This window comes from Homo sapiens, chromosome 3 (genome assembly GCF_000001405.40).
Source record: "Homo sapiens chromosome 3, GRCh38.p14 Primary Assembly".
Taxonomy (NCBI): Eukaryota; Metazoa; Chordata; class Mammalia; order Primates; family Hominidae; genus Homo; species Homo sapiens.
This window is the reverse complement of record NC_000003.12, coordinates 120,684,145-120,702,239: the sequence shown is the minus strand read 5'-3', so window position 1 is coordinate 120,702,239 and position 18,095 is coordinate 120,684,145. Positions and strand designations below refer to the sequence as shown.

The window sequence follows — 18,095 nt, the reverse complement described above, 5'->3', positions numbered from 1 at the left end:
AGTCTCTGGTACCAAAAAGGTTGGGGACTGTTGTTTTTGAGCATTCTGCTTGTGTTATAGCCTTTGCCACAACTGTCATGAAATTGCTCAGAAGCTGGCTTACAACAGAAGGAAAAATATTGTATTTCTACACTATCTCCAAGTATTCGTGTGTCCCCTTTCTTGTTTCATGAGCCAGAACTATAGGCCTTCTTCTGGAGTATTCTGTTCACACTTTTGGGTTTTAAGCTGAGTTGCATTCAGACAAGGGGATATGGAAGGAAACTGCTAATTCAATGGTTCTTCACATTGCAGTCTTCCTTAATATGCTCACTATTAATTTTTCAGAGTCCTCAAATAGCCACTTCATGTATCCTGTCCAGGTTTTATAGTTGCATTCACTGGGAAAGACAGGATAGAGTTTGCTTATTCTGTCTTACCTAGAACAGAACCCCATTTTCTATCTTTTGATTGAAGCAAGTCTTTCAAAGGCTTTGTTTTCTGTGTGGAAGTCTAATTGTTATGTGAAACCTAAATATAGTATAAGTTTGAGTATATATATGTAGATTCCAGCAAGACCTAATAAAGAATAAGCACAACTAATTTAAAACCTATATTTCAAAGCCTCATTGATATTTATTTCCTATCTCAATTCCTTTCATCACTGATGTCTTCATTAACCTAGCTTGTTCTCTATTTTCTACTAAAATTTCTACTTAAGAAACTTATCCTTAAATTTAGGGTTAGGAGACAGCATATTCATATCAGAAAGAAATCTGCATTTTTGTCAGGGAATTCAGTAAAAGTTCTATACCCATTTGCATTTTGACACTACAGTTTCATTTTGATTCTATAGATAAACCTGCAAATGTATAAAACAACCTTAATACATTGGTGTGCTTTGTTGGTGCATTATTGTATAGCATCAAAAAATTTGGAAACAACCCTAGTGTCCGAGCAACGAAAGATTCATTGAATAAATAATGGCATATCCACATACTGGAGTAGTATTCAATGTTTAAAAAAGAATCAGGAAGATCTCTATGAACTAAAATAGAAAGATCTACAGAGGGTACATTATTAGGTTTAACAAATCAAAATGCAGAGAATATATATCGTATACCTCCTATTGTATAAGAAAGAAAAGAAATAATATGTATTTATATTTGGATAAAGAATCAGTGAAAAATAAGAAACTAATAAAAATGGTAACCTATAGGGGGCCAGGGGAGATGGGTGGATGGGTACAGTGGTAGGAGCAAGACTGCTTAGCATATATCTTTTATATCAGTTTGAGTTTTTAGCCATATTTAAACAATTTAGGTAAATTTTATATTATGTAGTTTTTACCACAATAACTTTTTTTAACTTTTTATTATAGAAAATTTTAAACATATGTAAATACAAAGAATGGAAAATGAACTCCCATATACCCGTTGCCTAGTTTCAACAATTATCAACATATAGCTAGTCTTGTTTCATCCATATCTCTACCCACTTTCTATCTTCTCCCACTCTCAACTGGATTATTTTGAACCAAATGTTAAAACATCATATCATTTCATCCATATATACTTTAAAACATAAGGGCTTTTTTTTAACATGACACCATATAATTATCACAGCTAAAACTTTAATAATAATTCTTTAATAACCAAATATTATTTTAATTTCCCCAATTGTCTCATAAATGTTATAATTGATTTTTTCGAAATAGTATCTAAATAAGGTCCACTGGTTGTATTTGGTTTCTTAAGTATCTTTTAATCTTAGGTTCTCCCTTTTTGGTTGTTTTTTTTCCAACCTCCTAGCACTTTATTTGTAGAAGAAGATGGCTGTTTGTCTTGTACAGTTTCCTATATTCTGGATTTGCTGATTGTCTCCCTGTATTGTCTTTTAAACTTGTTTCTCTGAATTCTAAATCTTCTCTGAAGTGATAATTAAATATAGTGGTCTGAAAGATGCAAGTTTTTTTGTCTTTATTTTTCCACCCAGTATTATGCATATAATATGATACCTGGCTGTGTGTCTCTTTGTGATGTTAAGGAGCTATCAGCCTTATCCATCCATGATAAAGTTCTTCAGAAGTTTACCAAAGAAGATTTCAAGATTAAATTTTAAATTGGATGCTGCAAGATTTTATGAAAAAGTTAAAAGGAAAGCTAAAAAGAGAAATAAGAGAGCAAACTATATATGTATGCTTTATATGTGTCAGTGTGCAAGGAATTGTGCAAGACTATATGAGAGATGTATGTACATCAAAGATGATATTTGATAGAAGATATGCAAAACTTTGTATGTGAGACAGAAGGAAACAGTCCTAAAGGAAAGACACTCTCAAAACTTCATTCCCTAACAAAGCGAATTGTAGCTTTGAACCATGTCTCTTTAATTAGAGTTGCTGTTGATATGAATAATCAAAGGTCTTGATCATGCTATTATTGGCTTTGATGCAATAAATAGAATGGTAATATTTTTGTGAGATGGGAGGTTGTATAGTAAAACACTTGTGTTCCGAGGCTGAACAGTTTGCTGAGGCGCTGTAAGATTATTGTGAAGGGCATAAATACTTAGTAACTTTGCCCCCTACCCCAATTTAGAATTTCTGTAAGAGAAAGAAAAGTAGTGTTAAAGGAAGAAAAAAAGCTATGCTCGACTGGGTTGTAGTGATTGGATTATGCAATATTGATTTACTGTCATAAATTGTGCACAACCAGATTTTGCTGACTGTTGTAAGTTGAGCTTATAACGTGTCAGAAATCCAAATCTGTTTTATTTCTAATATGTGAGTAGAATTTAAATTAATTCAACAGCAATGGCCTCTGTGTTCTTTTCAGTAATGAGAAGTATCATTTACATCACCACTCTGTTCTTTGGATAAATAAATTTTTTAAAAAATAAGGATTGTAATAGCCAGTGATCCAAGGCCACTAACCCTAAGTGGTTCTTATTGCCCGTCCTCTATCTCCCATGGCTCTCATTTCAGGAAACAACTACTTGGTACTAAGTTCTTTCCTTTTACTATTCATTTTGCATTTCAGCTGTTTCCTTCCATTTCCATGTGTTTAATCCACCTTTCCCAGGCTATAGTATCACCTATATTTGATTTATTCTAGGCTTCAGCTTCCCTATTTCTATTTTCTTATTCTTCTTATTTCTTTACTATTCAGACAGAAATGTGTATTGTAGATATAGAATTAATGCATACCCCAAAAGGTACCCAAGAAGCTTGCCATTTTCTCTTCTAGCACAAGGCTTGAGTGCCATGCTAGGCTTTTGGGTTTTTGCTACGATGAGGCTTAAATCCACTCTCTGCTTCTACTCTGAAATATTCCTGAGCTGTTATGTTAACCTTAGAAGACACAGCTACATTGGAAGTTAAGTCCACTGACTGTAATATACTTGATGGGCACTTAGTTGTTCAATTATTCAGTATTGTTCAATATTCAATAAAAACATGGGACCAAATTTTGAGAAGTTAGATGAATAGCTGGAATCTGATGATGAGGATGGATTGATAAAAGAACAAGTAGATGGAAGAAGTTGGAAGGAAAGTAGGTTTGTAGGTGAAGGCAGCAAAAATCAGTTAATTTTCAGTAAAATAGTGTAACTTAGTTGCACTTAAATATTACACATCTACACCAGAAAGATACATTCTATTCACCTCTTCATTATTATTTATCACAGGGATTATGATCAAGAACAGTTTGCTGATAACCAAATACCACTGTTGGTAATAGGGACTAAACTGGACCAGATTCATGAAACAAAGCGCCATGAAGTTTTAACTAGGACTGCTTTCCTGGCTGAGGATTTCAATCCAGAAGAAATTAATTTGGTATGTATTTTCACTAATGCATGCTTGTATTATTATCGGGTAAAGACAAAACTGAAGACATATTCAAATAATATATTCTAGTGAAAGAAGCTTTATACTTGAAATCAGGCTATTTGGATTCTAGTCTAAACGTAGTCAAGATTGGAATCAACATATCTAGACTGAGAGATGTGCACAGTCACTTCAGCCTTTTATGTTGGTCTGTTGGAATGTTCCAACTTTATTCTATGAATAATTTAAATCATAGGCTTCTTTTTTTGAAACAGAGTCTCGCTCTGTCGCCCAGACTGGAGTGCAGTGGCGCGTTCTCAGCTCACTGCAGCCTCTACCTCCTGGGTTCAAGCGATTCTCATGCTTAGGCCACCTGAGTAGCTGGGATTACAGGCATGTACCACCATGTCCAGCTAATTTTTTAAATATTTTTAGTAGAGATGGGGTTTTGCCATGTTGCCCAGGCTAGTCTTGAACTCTTGACTGGATTTGCCCTCCTTGGCCTCCCAAAGTGCTGGGATTACAGGCGCGAGCCACTGCACCTGGCCCATGGGCTTTTTCTTGAGAAAGGTTTTTAAAATCACACCAAAATTAAAATAAATTGATTAAAGTGGCACTATAAGCATATTATTCTTGCTTTTAAAAAGCCTCTTAGCTTCTTAAACTACAAATTTTACCTTAAAGGGCAACGTAACAAATACATGAAAAAATTGCAAACCTTAAACTAGGAGTGCTTCATAAGGACTAATTTATGTACACTTATGCATATATAGAGGATTGAGTCCCTTGATGAGATAACTAGCTCAATGAGAACTGAGCGCGTAAAAAAGCTAAGAAATGGTTGTCATGTAAGCCTGTTAGGATCCCAGAAAAAGATCCTGGCCAGCAATTTCAGTCATGGTCATGTTGTTCACAAATAGGATTTCTGCAACTGTGCACTGGCATTCCAGAAATGCAGTGGTGGTGGTGTAATAGTACTAGTGAGCAACATTTATTGAGCACTTACGGGTTGAAAACTGTTTTAGTTATTTACATACATTATCTCACATGCATCATCTTCACAATCAACTCTATAAGACAGGTACTATTACTATCCTCTTTTTAAAGATAAGAAGGAGAGACGTAACAAGACCAAGGAAGTTTACCCAGGTCAATTAGGGTATTCAGATTCAGAGCCTGTGCTCTACAGTTAAGCCTCTTTTGCACTTAATTAATCCTTCAACTCACCTTGAGAATTTGGCAGCTGAAAAAACTCTTAGAAATCATCTAGACCAACAGTTACCCAAATCTGATTGTGTATTTATATTACCAATAGTACCTATGGAAAATTTTGAATAACCGTCCCACAGCTGGAGCTTTTTATTCATCAAGCCTGGCAGGAGGACCAGGAATCTGCAGTTTTAACAAATAACTCAGGTGCTTCTGATGCCTTTATTCTATGAATCAATGTTTATGAACACTGCTTGGTTCAGCCCCACCTCTACCCCCAGCTTCTGCCTGCCATTCCATTGTTTTTTACATTCTGCTTTGCAGCGGAGAGCCCCTCATTTTTCTCAGCTGCCACAATGGAATATTTGATGTGCATACCCCAGGTAGTCAGCACTGAACCATGATATTCCAAAGGATTCTTGCTATATAGATATATAATATTCTTGTTGAAGAAGTGCTGAGATTACTTTGAACATTATTTCCAAAGAGAAATTTACCATTGAAAACACTTAATTTGTTTCAGCGCTTACTTTAATATATTTTAGAATGTATCTGTTTCTAGTGCCTGTGGGTTTCTCTGATAATCGCGTGCATGTGTGTGTGTGTGTGTGTGTGTGTGTGTGTGTGTGTTATTCCTACTTGCCTTACAAAGCCAAGGCCATCTTTTAACTGTGAGTCAGATGTAAAGGTACTCAGGTAGTGAGACTTTAGCACATACAGTCTCCAAAGAGTTCAAATATAACATGTTTTTGGCCTTTATCAGTGTACAGCTTCAAGAACACAGCACACATAACAATAGGAGAGGGTCAGAGAATGCAGGGAAGAAAAAATGAGGAGGAAAATTGAATACAAGAGTTTCAAAAAGAAATAGCAATCAGAAATTCAGCAATTAAATATAAAGCCTCAAATAAAAACTAATGTAACATTATTAGTGCTAACATCAGTTACTGTATAAATTTCCTTAAAACTGTAGAAAAGTAAGAATTAACAAATGTATACATCAAAGGTGGAATCAGAGTTAATAAATAACTGCCTGAATACATGCAAATTGTTTAAATTATAAATAGGTGAACCATTACTTATTTTCTAAAATCCTGTTAGGCTTATTGTACCCTGTAAAAACTTTTCTCTGTTACGTATTTACTTTGAAGCGATCATATTGAAGTATCTTCCCTAGTTAATAGTCCTTTCTCAAGCTCAGTCAAGCTATTTGGAGCTATTAATTTTCAGGCTTTTCCCTCAGCCATGATAAATGGCAGATGGCTCTTTCAGCTCTAAATTTCTTATCCCAAAAATCATAGTGTTTCTCTAGGCTGGTCGACCTGAAATTATGGAACCATAGAATTAAGGTTTTGGGGGTGTTTTTTTGTTTGCTTGTTGTTTGCTTTAGTTTTTGTATTTAGTACTTCAGCTCTATTTAGAATTGTCTCAAACTTTTGACATTCTGATGACTAGCTAATCAATATCTATTTTATAAAACATTTCTACCACAGATCTAAGGTTTGTCTCTTATATGCCCCAATTGCTGTAGAAATGTGTTCAAACACTATTTCAAATACCATAGTTAGTGCAATGATGTTTCAGTCTACATAATCCATATATGGAATTATCTTTATTGTGGTAAGTGCTTGTTGTGCCTGAAAATTCAATCTGCTAGCATTTTCTTAGATTGAAGAGAGGAGGACTAATATTTTACTACCCAGTATGTCCAGGTATGGATTATTTAATTTTTCACAAAAATCCCGTGAAATAAAATATTGTTATCCCCATTCCACAAATCAGTAAGCCCAAATTTAAAGGTTTAGTACCCTAACCAGTGTTACACAGAGTAGAAATGTTGGGATGGATATTCTGATTTATTGCTTGCTGGCTTTGAAGACCCCTAATTTCTAGTACTCTGTGATCTTTGACAACTTTGTTGTAGCCTCTCTTTTTTGTGGTTTTAGAGAATGTATTATCATTTCTGGCTAAAATTTAAAGTGTGAGCCTTGAAATGTTGCATATGAATAAAATAGGAGGCTTCATTAGAAAGGAATCATGTGGGCCTGGAGATTGCAAAAACAGAATAAATGTAATAATAGTAATTTCAGTAATTTCTAGGGGCACAGAGGGTCTATAGCTAAAAGACAAAATTTCATACTTGCAAAGGAGCTTACATGATAGCCCTTATAGTTTGGTCTTAGGTACATTTCAGGTAAAAATCAAAGTACTCTATCTCTCAAGGTCACAAGTCAATGGTGACAAGCAAAAAAAAAAAAAAACAGCTAGACTGGAATTCCAGCGGATAGTAGGCCTTTTAAGGTTTTAAAGTTATTGTAATGATTAATGTTCCAGATCGTTTTGTCCCTTCTGGGCCCATTTTTTTTCCCTATAATAAAATTCCATCAAAGAGTAGTAATATATCTTTATTATCAAACAATAGTAGTAGATGTTTATTACCAAAAATAATATATCTTTGTGGCCTACCAAAAGATGTAGTACCTTGCATCTAAAGAGAAATCCTTGGCAATTGTTCTGTTTGTTCTTTGCACCTCTAAATCCTTATTTTCTTGCTTTCTCCGATTCATATGAACTGCATAGTACTAAATTAGTTGAGCACTGGTGATTAACTAGTACTAAAAGTGAAATGCTTACTGTTTTTCATGGCTCTCTCTCTCTGGTTTTCGGGGTAAATGTAGGTAGGTCACTCCAGTAGTACCTTGGTTTTGATATTAGTAAAATATTAGTAATCTTGTCTTCCTCTATGAATTATTTGATGATGAATACACTGATTTGGTATACTCTAAAATTGTTTAAATTACAAAGATTAAGTGACCTTATTTTCCTTTAATACTTTCCTCCTTTGTGCACCATAATTTGAAAATTATTTGAATATTTTGTGAGAGTATTGTGCCTAATAGTATTATGCCTACAGAAATATGCAACAGGATAAGTTATGAATAGCAACGAGCTTGGGTTTCCTAACTTTCAATTGTGGATCTTATGTTTTATCTTCTAGGACTGCACAAATCCACGGTACTTAGCTGCAGGTTCTTCCAATGCTGTCAAGCTCAGTAGGTTTTTTGATAAGGTAATGGTTTCAATTAAGTTATTTTTAAACTTAATTTATATATTATGAGAGTTTAAAATTTTTTTGTAGAATCCTATGACCTTTATTTTTTTGTCCAAAACTTCACAGCCTGGAATAATCCTTGTTTTGATCTCTCTTATCTGTTGGTATAATTGCCCAAGGCCTGCTGACGTATTTATTCCATCACCAGTGTTCTCTAAGTAAAGGGCAAAAGCTACTGGATTTAAATGGGGGTTTTAAAAAGATATCTAATTCCTCTCTTTAAAAGAATTTCTACTTACCCATTTTCTAGCTCTTTTTTTCACTTATTCACCCTCCCACCCCCATAAAGGCACTGAACTGAGGAGATTCTGCTTAAAGCCCTGAGTTCTTTTTGCTCTCCTAGCTGTTAATATTCTCTACATAAATGTTACTGTTACCTTTTAAGGTAATGTCTTCTTGATTTCCTAGTGTTTCCCTCTCAGAAATATTTGCATTCCAATTATTGACTCTCTGCTAACATTGTTTTATTGTCCTCAGCTGGAAGGAAAATGTAGAATGACTCAGCATACTGGTAAATTAGAGCACTCTTTGTCTTTCCTTCACAAAGCCATACAACTTTATTGCACATAGTATTGACCAAGTTTAAGTTGTTTGTCCAATGCTCACATTGCATAGTAAGGTAAAACAGGATGTCTTTCTGCATGTATTATTGAAAAAGGTTAATTCCTGTGTTATATTTCTTTTTAAGTGACATCTCCTAAGAAAATCATCTTCCCCATAGCTCTTCTTTATCAATCATTTTTTTCTTTTAACTATTTAGGGATTTAATAATTGGCCCTTTTGTTCAGCATTGGATAAGCCCCACCTTTAGATAATTTGGGATTTAATATTTGGCCTTTTTATCAGCACTAGATAAGCTCCAGCACCCTCCTCGATTAATATTAGGCCACTAGGAAAATTTTGCTTCACTGCAAAACTTCTTAACTGATATGTGGGAAATAGGGTACAGATGTGCCTAGATGCTGATTTCCCTCAGTTCTCAGAGCAGCCAGGGTCCTCAGGGTGGGGGGGTTGGGTGATTGGCAACCGCTTCCATTTTCTCCAGTGTGCTATACAAATATTAGCATTTTCTACGTGTGCCATGACATGAAAAATGTTGTGCAGCACTGCAAGGAGCCAGATTTTTTGCCCACATTGTTTTCAAACTTAAAATATAAGAATTTCCATTTGGTTTAGATCTATGGCCCCATCAATACAAAATTCTGTCCCTTATGAGCAACATCTTATAGATCTGCCCTGACCTGGAAAGATCCCACAGTATGTTGTTTAAATTTAAAATTTTATTAGTTCTAAAATTAAAAAATAAGATATACTAAATTACATCCTAGAGAAACTGGGTTATTGATTGGTATAATCCGAGTTGTCAGGCAAGGCTTTATTTTTTAAAAAATCAGGAGTACACATTGCAAGTCAGGGGTAAAGAATTATGACCAAAACCAAAAAGGTAACTTCTCTTTTATTGCCTGAATCACAACAAAATGTATGTGGGTTAGGAGGTTGGCCAGACCTCCAGACTGAGGTGGTTGCCTGAAACCAAAGGAGCTGACAACCAGATTTCACCCAGTTTTCTATACATCAGTTCTTCCAGAATTTAGCATAAAGATTTATTCTCCAGCCGGGCACGGTGCCTCACGCCTGTAATCCCAATACTTTGGGAGGCCGAGGCGGGCAGATGACGAGGTCAGGAGATCAAGACCATCATGGCTAGCATGGTGAAACCCCATCTCTAGTAAAAATACAAAAAATTAGCTGAGTGTGGTGGCGGGCGCCTGTAGTCCCAGCTACTCAGGAGGCTGAGGCAGGAGAATGGCGTGAACCCAGGAGGTGGAGCTTGCAGTGAGCCGAGATCGCACCACTGCACTCCAGCCTGGGTGACAGAGCAGGACTCCATCTGAAACAAACAAAAAAAAAAGATTTCTTCTCCAAAAGGAAGTCTAACTCCTTCTCCAGCCTCTTTCAACTAGTAGTAATTCCTCACGCTCCAGAATAATCAGATTTTCCTGTCCTGCCATAGAGAGGAAAGGGAATCAGTCTCCTTCTTGGTTTTTGTGGGATTGTTTTAAGATGTACACTAATGATAAACCAACTTTTCTACCTCTGGGGTAAGTGAATGCAACTTTGCCCTGGTGTCTTGTGGCTAAAAATAATCCAGCTATAGTCTCCAAGACAGCAAGAATCTGGATGAATGGCTGTCGCACCAGAGAGAGCAAGCTGGTCTTGGTCTTGGATCTGGATGAATGGTCTTGGTGTTGAATCTGGATGAATGGCTGTGGCACCAGAGAGAGCAAGCTGGTCTGTTCTCATTCAGAGGAACTCTTAGCTGCATAATTTCAGATTTGAATGTCTTAGAGTTCATCTCCAGCTGATCTGTATTATTATCCGATTAACTTTTCTTATCACAGCAGGTCTATGTAAAGAAAATACAGCTATTCCTCAACTTGCGATAGGGTTATATCTCAGTAAACCCCTTGTAAATTGGAAACATTGTTAGTCAAAAATACATTTATTACACCCAACTTACCAAGCATCGCAGCTTAGCCTAGCCTTCCTTAAACATGCTCAGAACACTTATGTTAGCCTACAGTTAGGCAGAATCATCTAACACAAGCCTATTTTATTAAAAAGTTGTGAATGGCTCATGTAATTTATTGAATACTATACTGAAAGTGAAAAAAGTGCCCATTGTATGGGCACTCAAAGTACAGTTTCTACTGAATGCATGTTGCTTTCACACCACCATAAAGTCAAAAAATCGTAGTCAAGCCATCCTAAATCAGAGACCATTTATAATACTTCCTCTGTAACCATTGCAGTTTCTCAAGTGTCAGAACAGAATTTATTATTCTTGAAAATGTTTTTCATCATCTGGAAACATGGTGCTCTTTAGGGTTTACAGCAGTTTTGGGAAAAAATGAAAACATGGTGCTCTTAAACTTATTACATTTGGACATATATTTTGAGGGTTTCTTTTCAATAATGGTGATGGATTTGTGCAGATACATCTGCTGCTTGAACATGTTTTTTCTACTTATCAAATGCAGGTAATTCTGAAACTACTGAAGTAAGGGTGCAGTTAGTTAAAAAAAAGTAGACAATTTACAACAGTCATTAGACTGCTTTTGATGTTGTGTCATCTGTCTATATTGAGGACATATAGAATTTGTCACCACTTACTATAGGGATGTGGTGGTTTGCTATGTTAAACAGTCCCCTCTTTAAGAAATAGACAAGACTATTGTAGCAGGCAAGTGCTTTTTTTATTTTATGGATGCTGTTTAGTACCTTTTGGGACTGACTGCTAGGAAACTTAGAGTCAGATTTGCTGTCATACTCTAAGAATTGCATAGGATCTTATATCATTCTATCATTATTTAGTTTTTGTTATTCATTTATTTTTTGATCTATCATTAATGCGTTTTGGAATGAGGCAGGCTTTTATGGAAATACTCTCACAATTCTGATCTCATTAACACCAGATTTTTAGCTGACTGTACTACATGTCTACTGCTATGGAAAAGATTCTTAGTTTGGATATATTCCTTTTAGTACCATTAGTGGTCGTTGCAGTTAGCCACTTTTTGCAGGTATGTGTGCTAAGCCTTTAAAATCTTTGTTTTTCACAGGTCATAGAGAAGAGATACTTTTTAAGAGAAGGTAATCAGGTTGGTATCTCTTTTCTTGATAAAATAGATTCTTAAATTTTGATAGGTGATTTCCAAATTTAAGTTCAGAAGTAGTTTTAAAAAGTTGGGGAAAGCCCTTTATAGGCACAAGCAACTGATTTCCTTCTATCCTGTTAAATACAAAAGGAGAAAATCAGAACAAAGGGAAAATAAGGATCTAGGAAACAAATATAATCTAGGAATAAGATTACATTATAAAATAGAAGAAGAAAATAATTTGCTTGGGACTCCAAGAGTATACGTTCAGGGTCTGTCACAATACAAATAATTTCTATAAAAGTCTAGTAGGTATTATGAGATTTACCTTCATTCTTTCTGATTTAGATGACACTATCACCAATTTGTTGGGAAATGTTTTCCATTTGGGTAAGATTTATTTTTATTATTTAATCTGTGGTTTTCTGAGTAAAACCTCAGAAAGTTGTTTTTTTAAGAAACAGCAGGCTGACATACAGAAATGGAAAAGAAGGGAAAAATTACTATTAGTATTTGAACTTTTATTGCTTGAGACTTAATGCAATTATCTTTCTTGCCTACAGATTCCAGGCTTTCCTGATCGGAAAAGATTTGGGGCAGGAACATTAAAGAGCCTTCATTATGACTGAATTACACTCATCCTTTGGAAGAGTGAGCAAGCAGTGGCAGTTTTTCACAGCTCATCTTGCTGTGTTCAATTATTACCATCACAGCCTTTTAACAAAATCATCTTAAAATGCTACCCTTCAGCCTTACCCTTTAATGGAAAAATGAAAGGAAGTGACAATACGGGAGGTCCAAACTTTGTCCCTGTTCTCTGTGTTCCTTACCTTTCTGTCCCTGTGTATAGATTATGTAAAAGCCTTGTGTAAATATGAGATGTTGTCAAAATGATGCAGTAAATGAGCAATGACAGTGTACTGCAGAGAAAATTTACTCTTGCCTAGAACTGGAGGGTTTTTATGGGTCTGTAATTTTCCCACACTCATTGCTGAAAGCTTAATTAAGTACTTCAAAAACGTATCTCCATTGTTTTACCTTCTTGAGGGGAACGGTCTTGTTAACCAGCCCTGAGTTGTCTACCCCAAACAATCTCTGTCATTTTCAAAGATGCAAAATGGTGTTATTTAATTGTCTCCACCATTGTCACACACAGGAATGCCTAATAATAGCAACCCTTGTCTCCCTCTTCTCTCCTTTGCAAATGGCTCAGTGACTGGAAGAGGCGGACTAATAGCCAGAGTTAAATATAAATACAAATTAATAATACATAGAGAACAGCAATACCAGAAAAAAAGAATTCTGGTAAAATGATGTGAAAAATTGACAGCTCCCTCACTCTTAAGGTTGCTGCTATATACAGTCTAGGTTTTCTGTTTGGAAATAGGTAGGGTAAAATCTAAGACCTGCACAAGGGCAGTGAGAGACATTTACAGCCTCCTCTCTATTTGTTTTTTTAAGGAAAAGTCAACTCCTGAAATGTCCCTTAGCTATAATCAGAAAACTAAGAATATTATTCTGTGTCAACAATGTATTTATGGAGAGAAGTAAAAATAAGTTCCACAGCAACACATTTACATGAATTATGAACTAGGATTCTTGGATTTCATAATCACTCCAAAGCTTTTTGGGGATGGTGTGTGTGTGTGTGTGTGTCCGTAATTGTTCATCATTACTTTTTTTAACCTATCTTTTTGCTTGCTTAATCTTCTCTGCCCCAGTTCTTCCTGAGTATATGAATTTGATTTCTAAAAACAATTTATTCAACACTCTATCACCCGTATTCTCTCTCTGGCTCTGCTGCAGGTCTCTGCACTCCTGATTTTGCTCCATACTTTTAAATAACAATAATAAATATACAGTTTTCATTTCTCATTTAAAAAATAGGTGGAAAACACCAAATTCACTTTCTGTTCCATTTTAATTAGGTTTCAGAAGTATCTTGGAAATCAAGGTATGCTGCAAGAGGATATTAAAATAAGAATGTTAGAGAGTCCTTTTAGAAAGGCAGTCTTGGGAATTTGGAAAAGGATTTTTAAAGCAGCTTTCATCAGCTAGACTGTTCTCCAGCCTTTCTTTACTTCCTCTTTGAAAGGACATAGCCCTGGTTTCTTTTTGACACAAAGGAAAGCTATGCAAATCATGATCTGTATGTAGAATTGGTCACAAGTATGTTGTTGCATAGGCTGTACAGTTGGGAAGTAGAAACCAAATGCTACCCAGAGACCTAACCCAATTAAGCTCTTTGTATTTCTCCTTCAAGAAATAAATCTTCCTTCCTTCTTTCTTCCTCTTTCTTTTAATTTTAAAAAAATTCATCCTGATTTTTTTATTTTCTATCTTATTTAAAAAATAAAAATAGGCCAGGCGCGGTGGCTCACACCTTTAATCCCAACACTTTGGGAGGCGGGTCGATCACTTGATATCAGGAGTTTGAGACCAGCCTGGCCAACATAGGGAAACCCTGTCTCTACTAAAAATACAAAAATTAGCCAGGCCTGGTGGCACGCGCCTGTAATCCCAGCTACTTGGGAGGCTGAGGCAGGAGAATCACTTGAACCTGGGAGGTGGAGGTTGCAGTGAGTCAAGATCGTGTCACTGCACTCCAGCCTAGGTGACAGAGTGAGACTCCAACTAAAAGAAAATAAATAAATAAATATATAAATATATAAATAAATAATAAAAGTAAACTATTGCTGATGACTCCAGGGTCAATCTGGAAAAATTAACAGTATTCCTCAACTCCATTACTTTCTGCAGCCAAGCTTGATTCCTTGAATTATAGTTTTCTAAGAAAAAATAGTTTTTAATAATCTAAGGTAAATTTGTTGCAATTATTAGCAGCAGCATAATAAGGCTTTTTGCGCAAATGAATGTTATTAGCTAGAGTTATTCAAAAAAGAATGAAGCACAATTTTTGCTAGGACTTCTTGAGAACTATTCATAAAAATGCTTTTAGATAATAAACAAGTATAAATGTCAAAATATTTTTTTAAAAGTATAATTGGCCAGGTGCTGGCTCACGCCTATAATCCCAGCACTCTAGGAGACTGAGGCAGGAGGATCACTTGAGCTCGGGAGTTTGAGGCTGCAGTGATTCATGATTGCACCACTGCCTTCCAGCAGCCTGATGACAGAGTGGGACTCCATCTCTTTACATATGTATATCTTACTCTCTTGATGGGACAAGTTGGTAGAAATAAAGATTTTTTTTTTCTGTTGTGATTTCGGTGTCTGACCAATTTTCTGACTCATTGTGAAGGTGACCAGATATGAAGGCATATATATGACTACTCCTCTGTCCCTTAGGTGTATAAGACTTAGCTGGAATCCAACTAAAGATTTGGGCTGGTCTCTCCATCTTAACGTTGATGGGATTCAGGACACATAACCCCAAAATATTGCACCCTGTTATTTGAGAAAACTGCAGAAGCAAGGTTTCTCATACCTTCCCCTTACCCCTTCTCCCCTGAAGCAGGCCATAAACCCTAAGTGACTGTTCCCTGAAGTAGATCATAAAACCTTCATTCCATAGGTACCCTTTATCCTCACAGATACAGAGACACCAAGAAGAATCTGGACAAATAGGACTTGCTAAGTTCTCCACAGTTTATTACCATTAGATTATGTCCTTTTGTCCTCTGATTATACTTCTGCATAAGACTGTACATAAAAATACACAAGTTTTCCTATTTCTTTTTTGTCTTCATTTCTGAAGATTCCTGTCATGTAAAACTTACAGTAAATAAATGTGTGTGCTTTTCTCAATAATCTGTCTTTCGTTATAGGTGCCTCATTTGTGAACCTAGTGATGGGTGAAGAAAGAAAGCTCTTCTCCGCTACAGTGCTCTAAGAAAAGCTATTCCCAAAAGAGTTGATCCATATTAGCTTTAGCTCGGGTTCTTAGAATTCCTCAAACTTGAGGCATTCATGATATAATCCAGGTGCCCTGACACTTGTTTTTCTGTTCATTCTGACATGGACTTCATGGAAATGATGTGCAGGGACATCAGACTGAGGTGAAGAGCTCCTAATTGCTCCTTGTAATCAGAGTTTCTGAGTCCTCATTTCAATAGTTTGCAGTAGCACCCACCATAGGTAGGACCTTGTATGGGTTACTAGATGGTGGCTTAATTGAATTTTTTAAAGCACAGGTGACATCATATTTTAAGAAGTTTAAAGGTCTAACAGGGTGTCTGCATTGGTTTAATATATGTTAAAATTCAAAGGAGGAGTCTGTTTTGGGGAAAGGAGGAGAAGGAAATTAGAAATTCATTTCTCCGCAGTCCCAAGACTGAGCTAAATCACTGTGGTGGGAGAGGAAGGGTCGCAGGAAGTCTAACCCTGTGTCTCAAATATTTCACAACATGTTTGCCTACACAAAATATCTGATGTTAGGGTCAGCTGGGGCTGCTCCATAGCATAGTAAAGGAATTGGACATCCAGTTACAATTAATCTGCACCTCCATTAAGGACTCACATGGAGGGCTTTCAAACTCTGAAGTGTGTAAGAATCCCCTGAAGTGCTTGCTGAAAATGCAGATTCCACGATTTCCTCTCTCTTCCCTTACTCTCCCCTTTCTATATGTATAGGATAAGGCCAGGATTTTGTATTTTTAACAGACAAGCCAGATTTTTCTCATGCAGATAAGTCAGGATCTAGCCTTTAAGAAAGACAAATAAACTCATCAAAAAGTAGGGAATATAGATTGTGAACTCTGTACTTTATGAGTGCCATTATAGCAGAATTCATCAAAGCGCATCTTTGACTGCCTCAACCTGATCTCACCTTAATGAACTGATCCACTCCTCCCCACTCAAAGCTACATATGCCAAATTAAACATGAGATGATTGTCATGTCTTCTGTTGGCAAAACAAGTATTTGTCTTTCATGTATTGCTATCATTTTTATTACTGCCACTGTTTTTCCCCTGGGTTCTGTTTTTAATCCAAATATATTTATTTCTAACCAGTGCCTTGCCATCTTACACACAGCCCCCTCTCTAGTACTGTGTTTTCTCAGCTGGCTAATCACTAAGCTTTACCGAGGTCATCAATAACTAATGACAAAGAATGGAACCCCTAAACTCCAACCAAGGTGTAAAACCTCGCTCAGTACCATCAAGTATATCAGGTAATCTCTCCGTTCCATCTTTTTCTCGGAGACATCTGTCCTGGAGTCCTCTGATGCCTAACTCCGTTTTGGAGTGATTACTCTGTAGACCTGTCACACCCTGCTTCACATTACCTTGTAGCAATTCCTGGATGTAATGTTTTCCACTTTCTATCCAACTCTTACTCTATGGGACTTGGCTCAGACATAGTCTTCTCTGGGAAGCCCTCCCTGGCTCTGCTCGTCTGGGCTACGTGCCCACTAGTGCTTCCCCTAGATCCCTGGGCTCTTTCCTGTCAGAGCACTTACACTATGTTGTGATGGTTTTCAAAAATTGTTAAATAAATGAATGTATAATTACATTAATTAAAATGGAAAGCCATTAGACATAGAATCAGAACTTATCTGTAGCTGTGTAAGTTATTTATTCTCCAATCCCAGCAGGACATGATGGCTTATGCCTGTAATTCCAATACTTTGGGAGGCTGAGGCCAGAGGATGGCTTATGCCTGGGAGTTAAAGGCTGCAGTGAGCTGTGATGATGCCACTGCACTCCAGCTTGGATGACACAGCAAGACTCTGTCTCTAAAAAAAAACATTAAGTCAGGTGCAGGAGTTCACGTCTGTAATCCCAGCACTTTGGGAGGCTGAAGTGGGAGGATTGCTTGAGCCTAGGAGTTCAAGTTCAGCCTGGGCAACATGACGAGACCTCATCTCTACTAAAAAATTTTTAAAGTAGCCGGGTGTGGTGGTGTGTGCCTGTAGTCCCAGCTACTCAGGAGGCTGAGATGGGAGGATCGCTTTAGCCCAGGAGGTTGAGGCTTCAGTGAGCCATTTTTGTGCCACTGCACTCCAGCCTGGATGACAGAGAACCTGTCTCAAAAAAAAAATTAAATAATAAAATAATATTTTAATATCCCCTGTGTGTATTCTCTCCTTTTAGAAGGAATCCCTAAAGTTTAGTGAAAGATGTATTCAACTTTAAATATTTTCAAGCCCCTCAAAGTAATTTTAATCCAGTCAAGGAACTGTTAACACTTTCTTACCCCTTCAGAAGTCTCTCATACCTTAGGAAAGAACTGAAACACTTCTTAAATCTGCCTTCACAACTGGTTCAATGGAAGTAACATAGAAAGTTTGTTGAAAAATAAGGCAGTAAAGATTTCCCTTTGTCTTTTATTAGCTCCCATTTG

General features: G+C 36.5%; 1 protein-coding gene across 4 annotated transcripts in view; it reads left to right on the top strand.

Moving 5' to 3' along the window:
- The window catches only part of RABL3 (RAB, member of RAS oncogene family like 3), a 57,743-nt gene extending 40,441 nt beyond the window's left edge, over window positions 1-17,302 (top strand). The window contains exons 5-9 of one of the 4 annotated variants that reach the window (NM_001363965.1): window positions 3,667-3,817; window positions 8,016-8,087; window positions 11,753-11,791; window positions 12,137-12,178; window positions 12,352-15,559. In NM_001363965.1, coding sequence (NP_001350894.1) covers window positions 3,667-3,817; window positions 8,016-8,087; window positions 11,753-11,791; window positions 12,137-12,178; window positions 12,352-12,417 — 370 coding nt within the window. In that variant the 3' untranslated portion in view covers window positions 12,418-15,559. Of the gene's footprint in view, window positions 1-3,666; window positions 3,818-8,015; window positions 8,088-11,752; window positions 11,792-12,136; window positions 12,179-12,351 lie in introns of all 4 variants that reach the window. The other 3 variants (NR_157022.1, NM_173825.5, NM_001363964.1) reach the window with 3 other exon arrangements.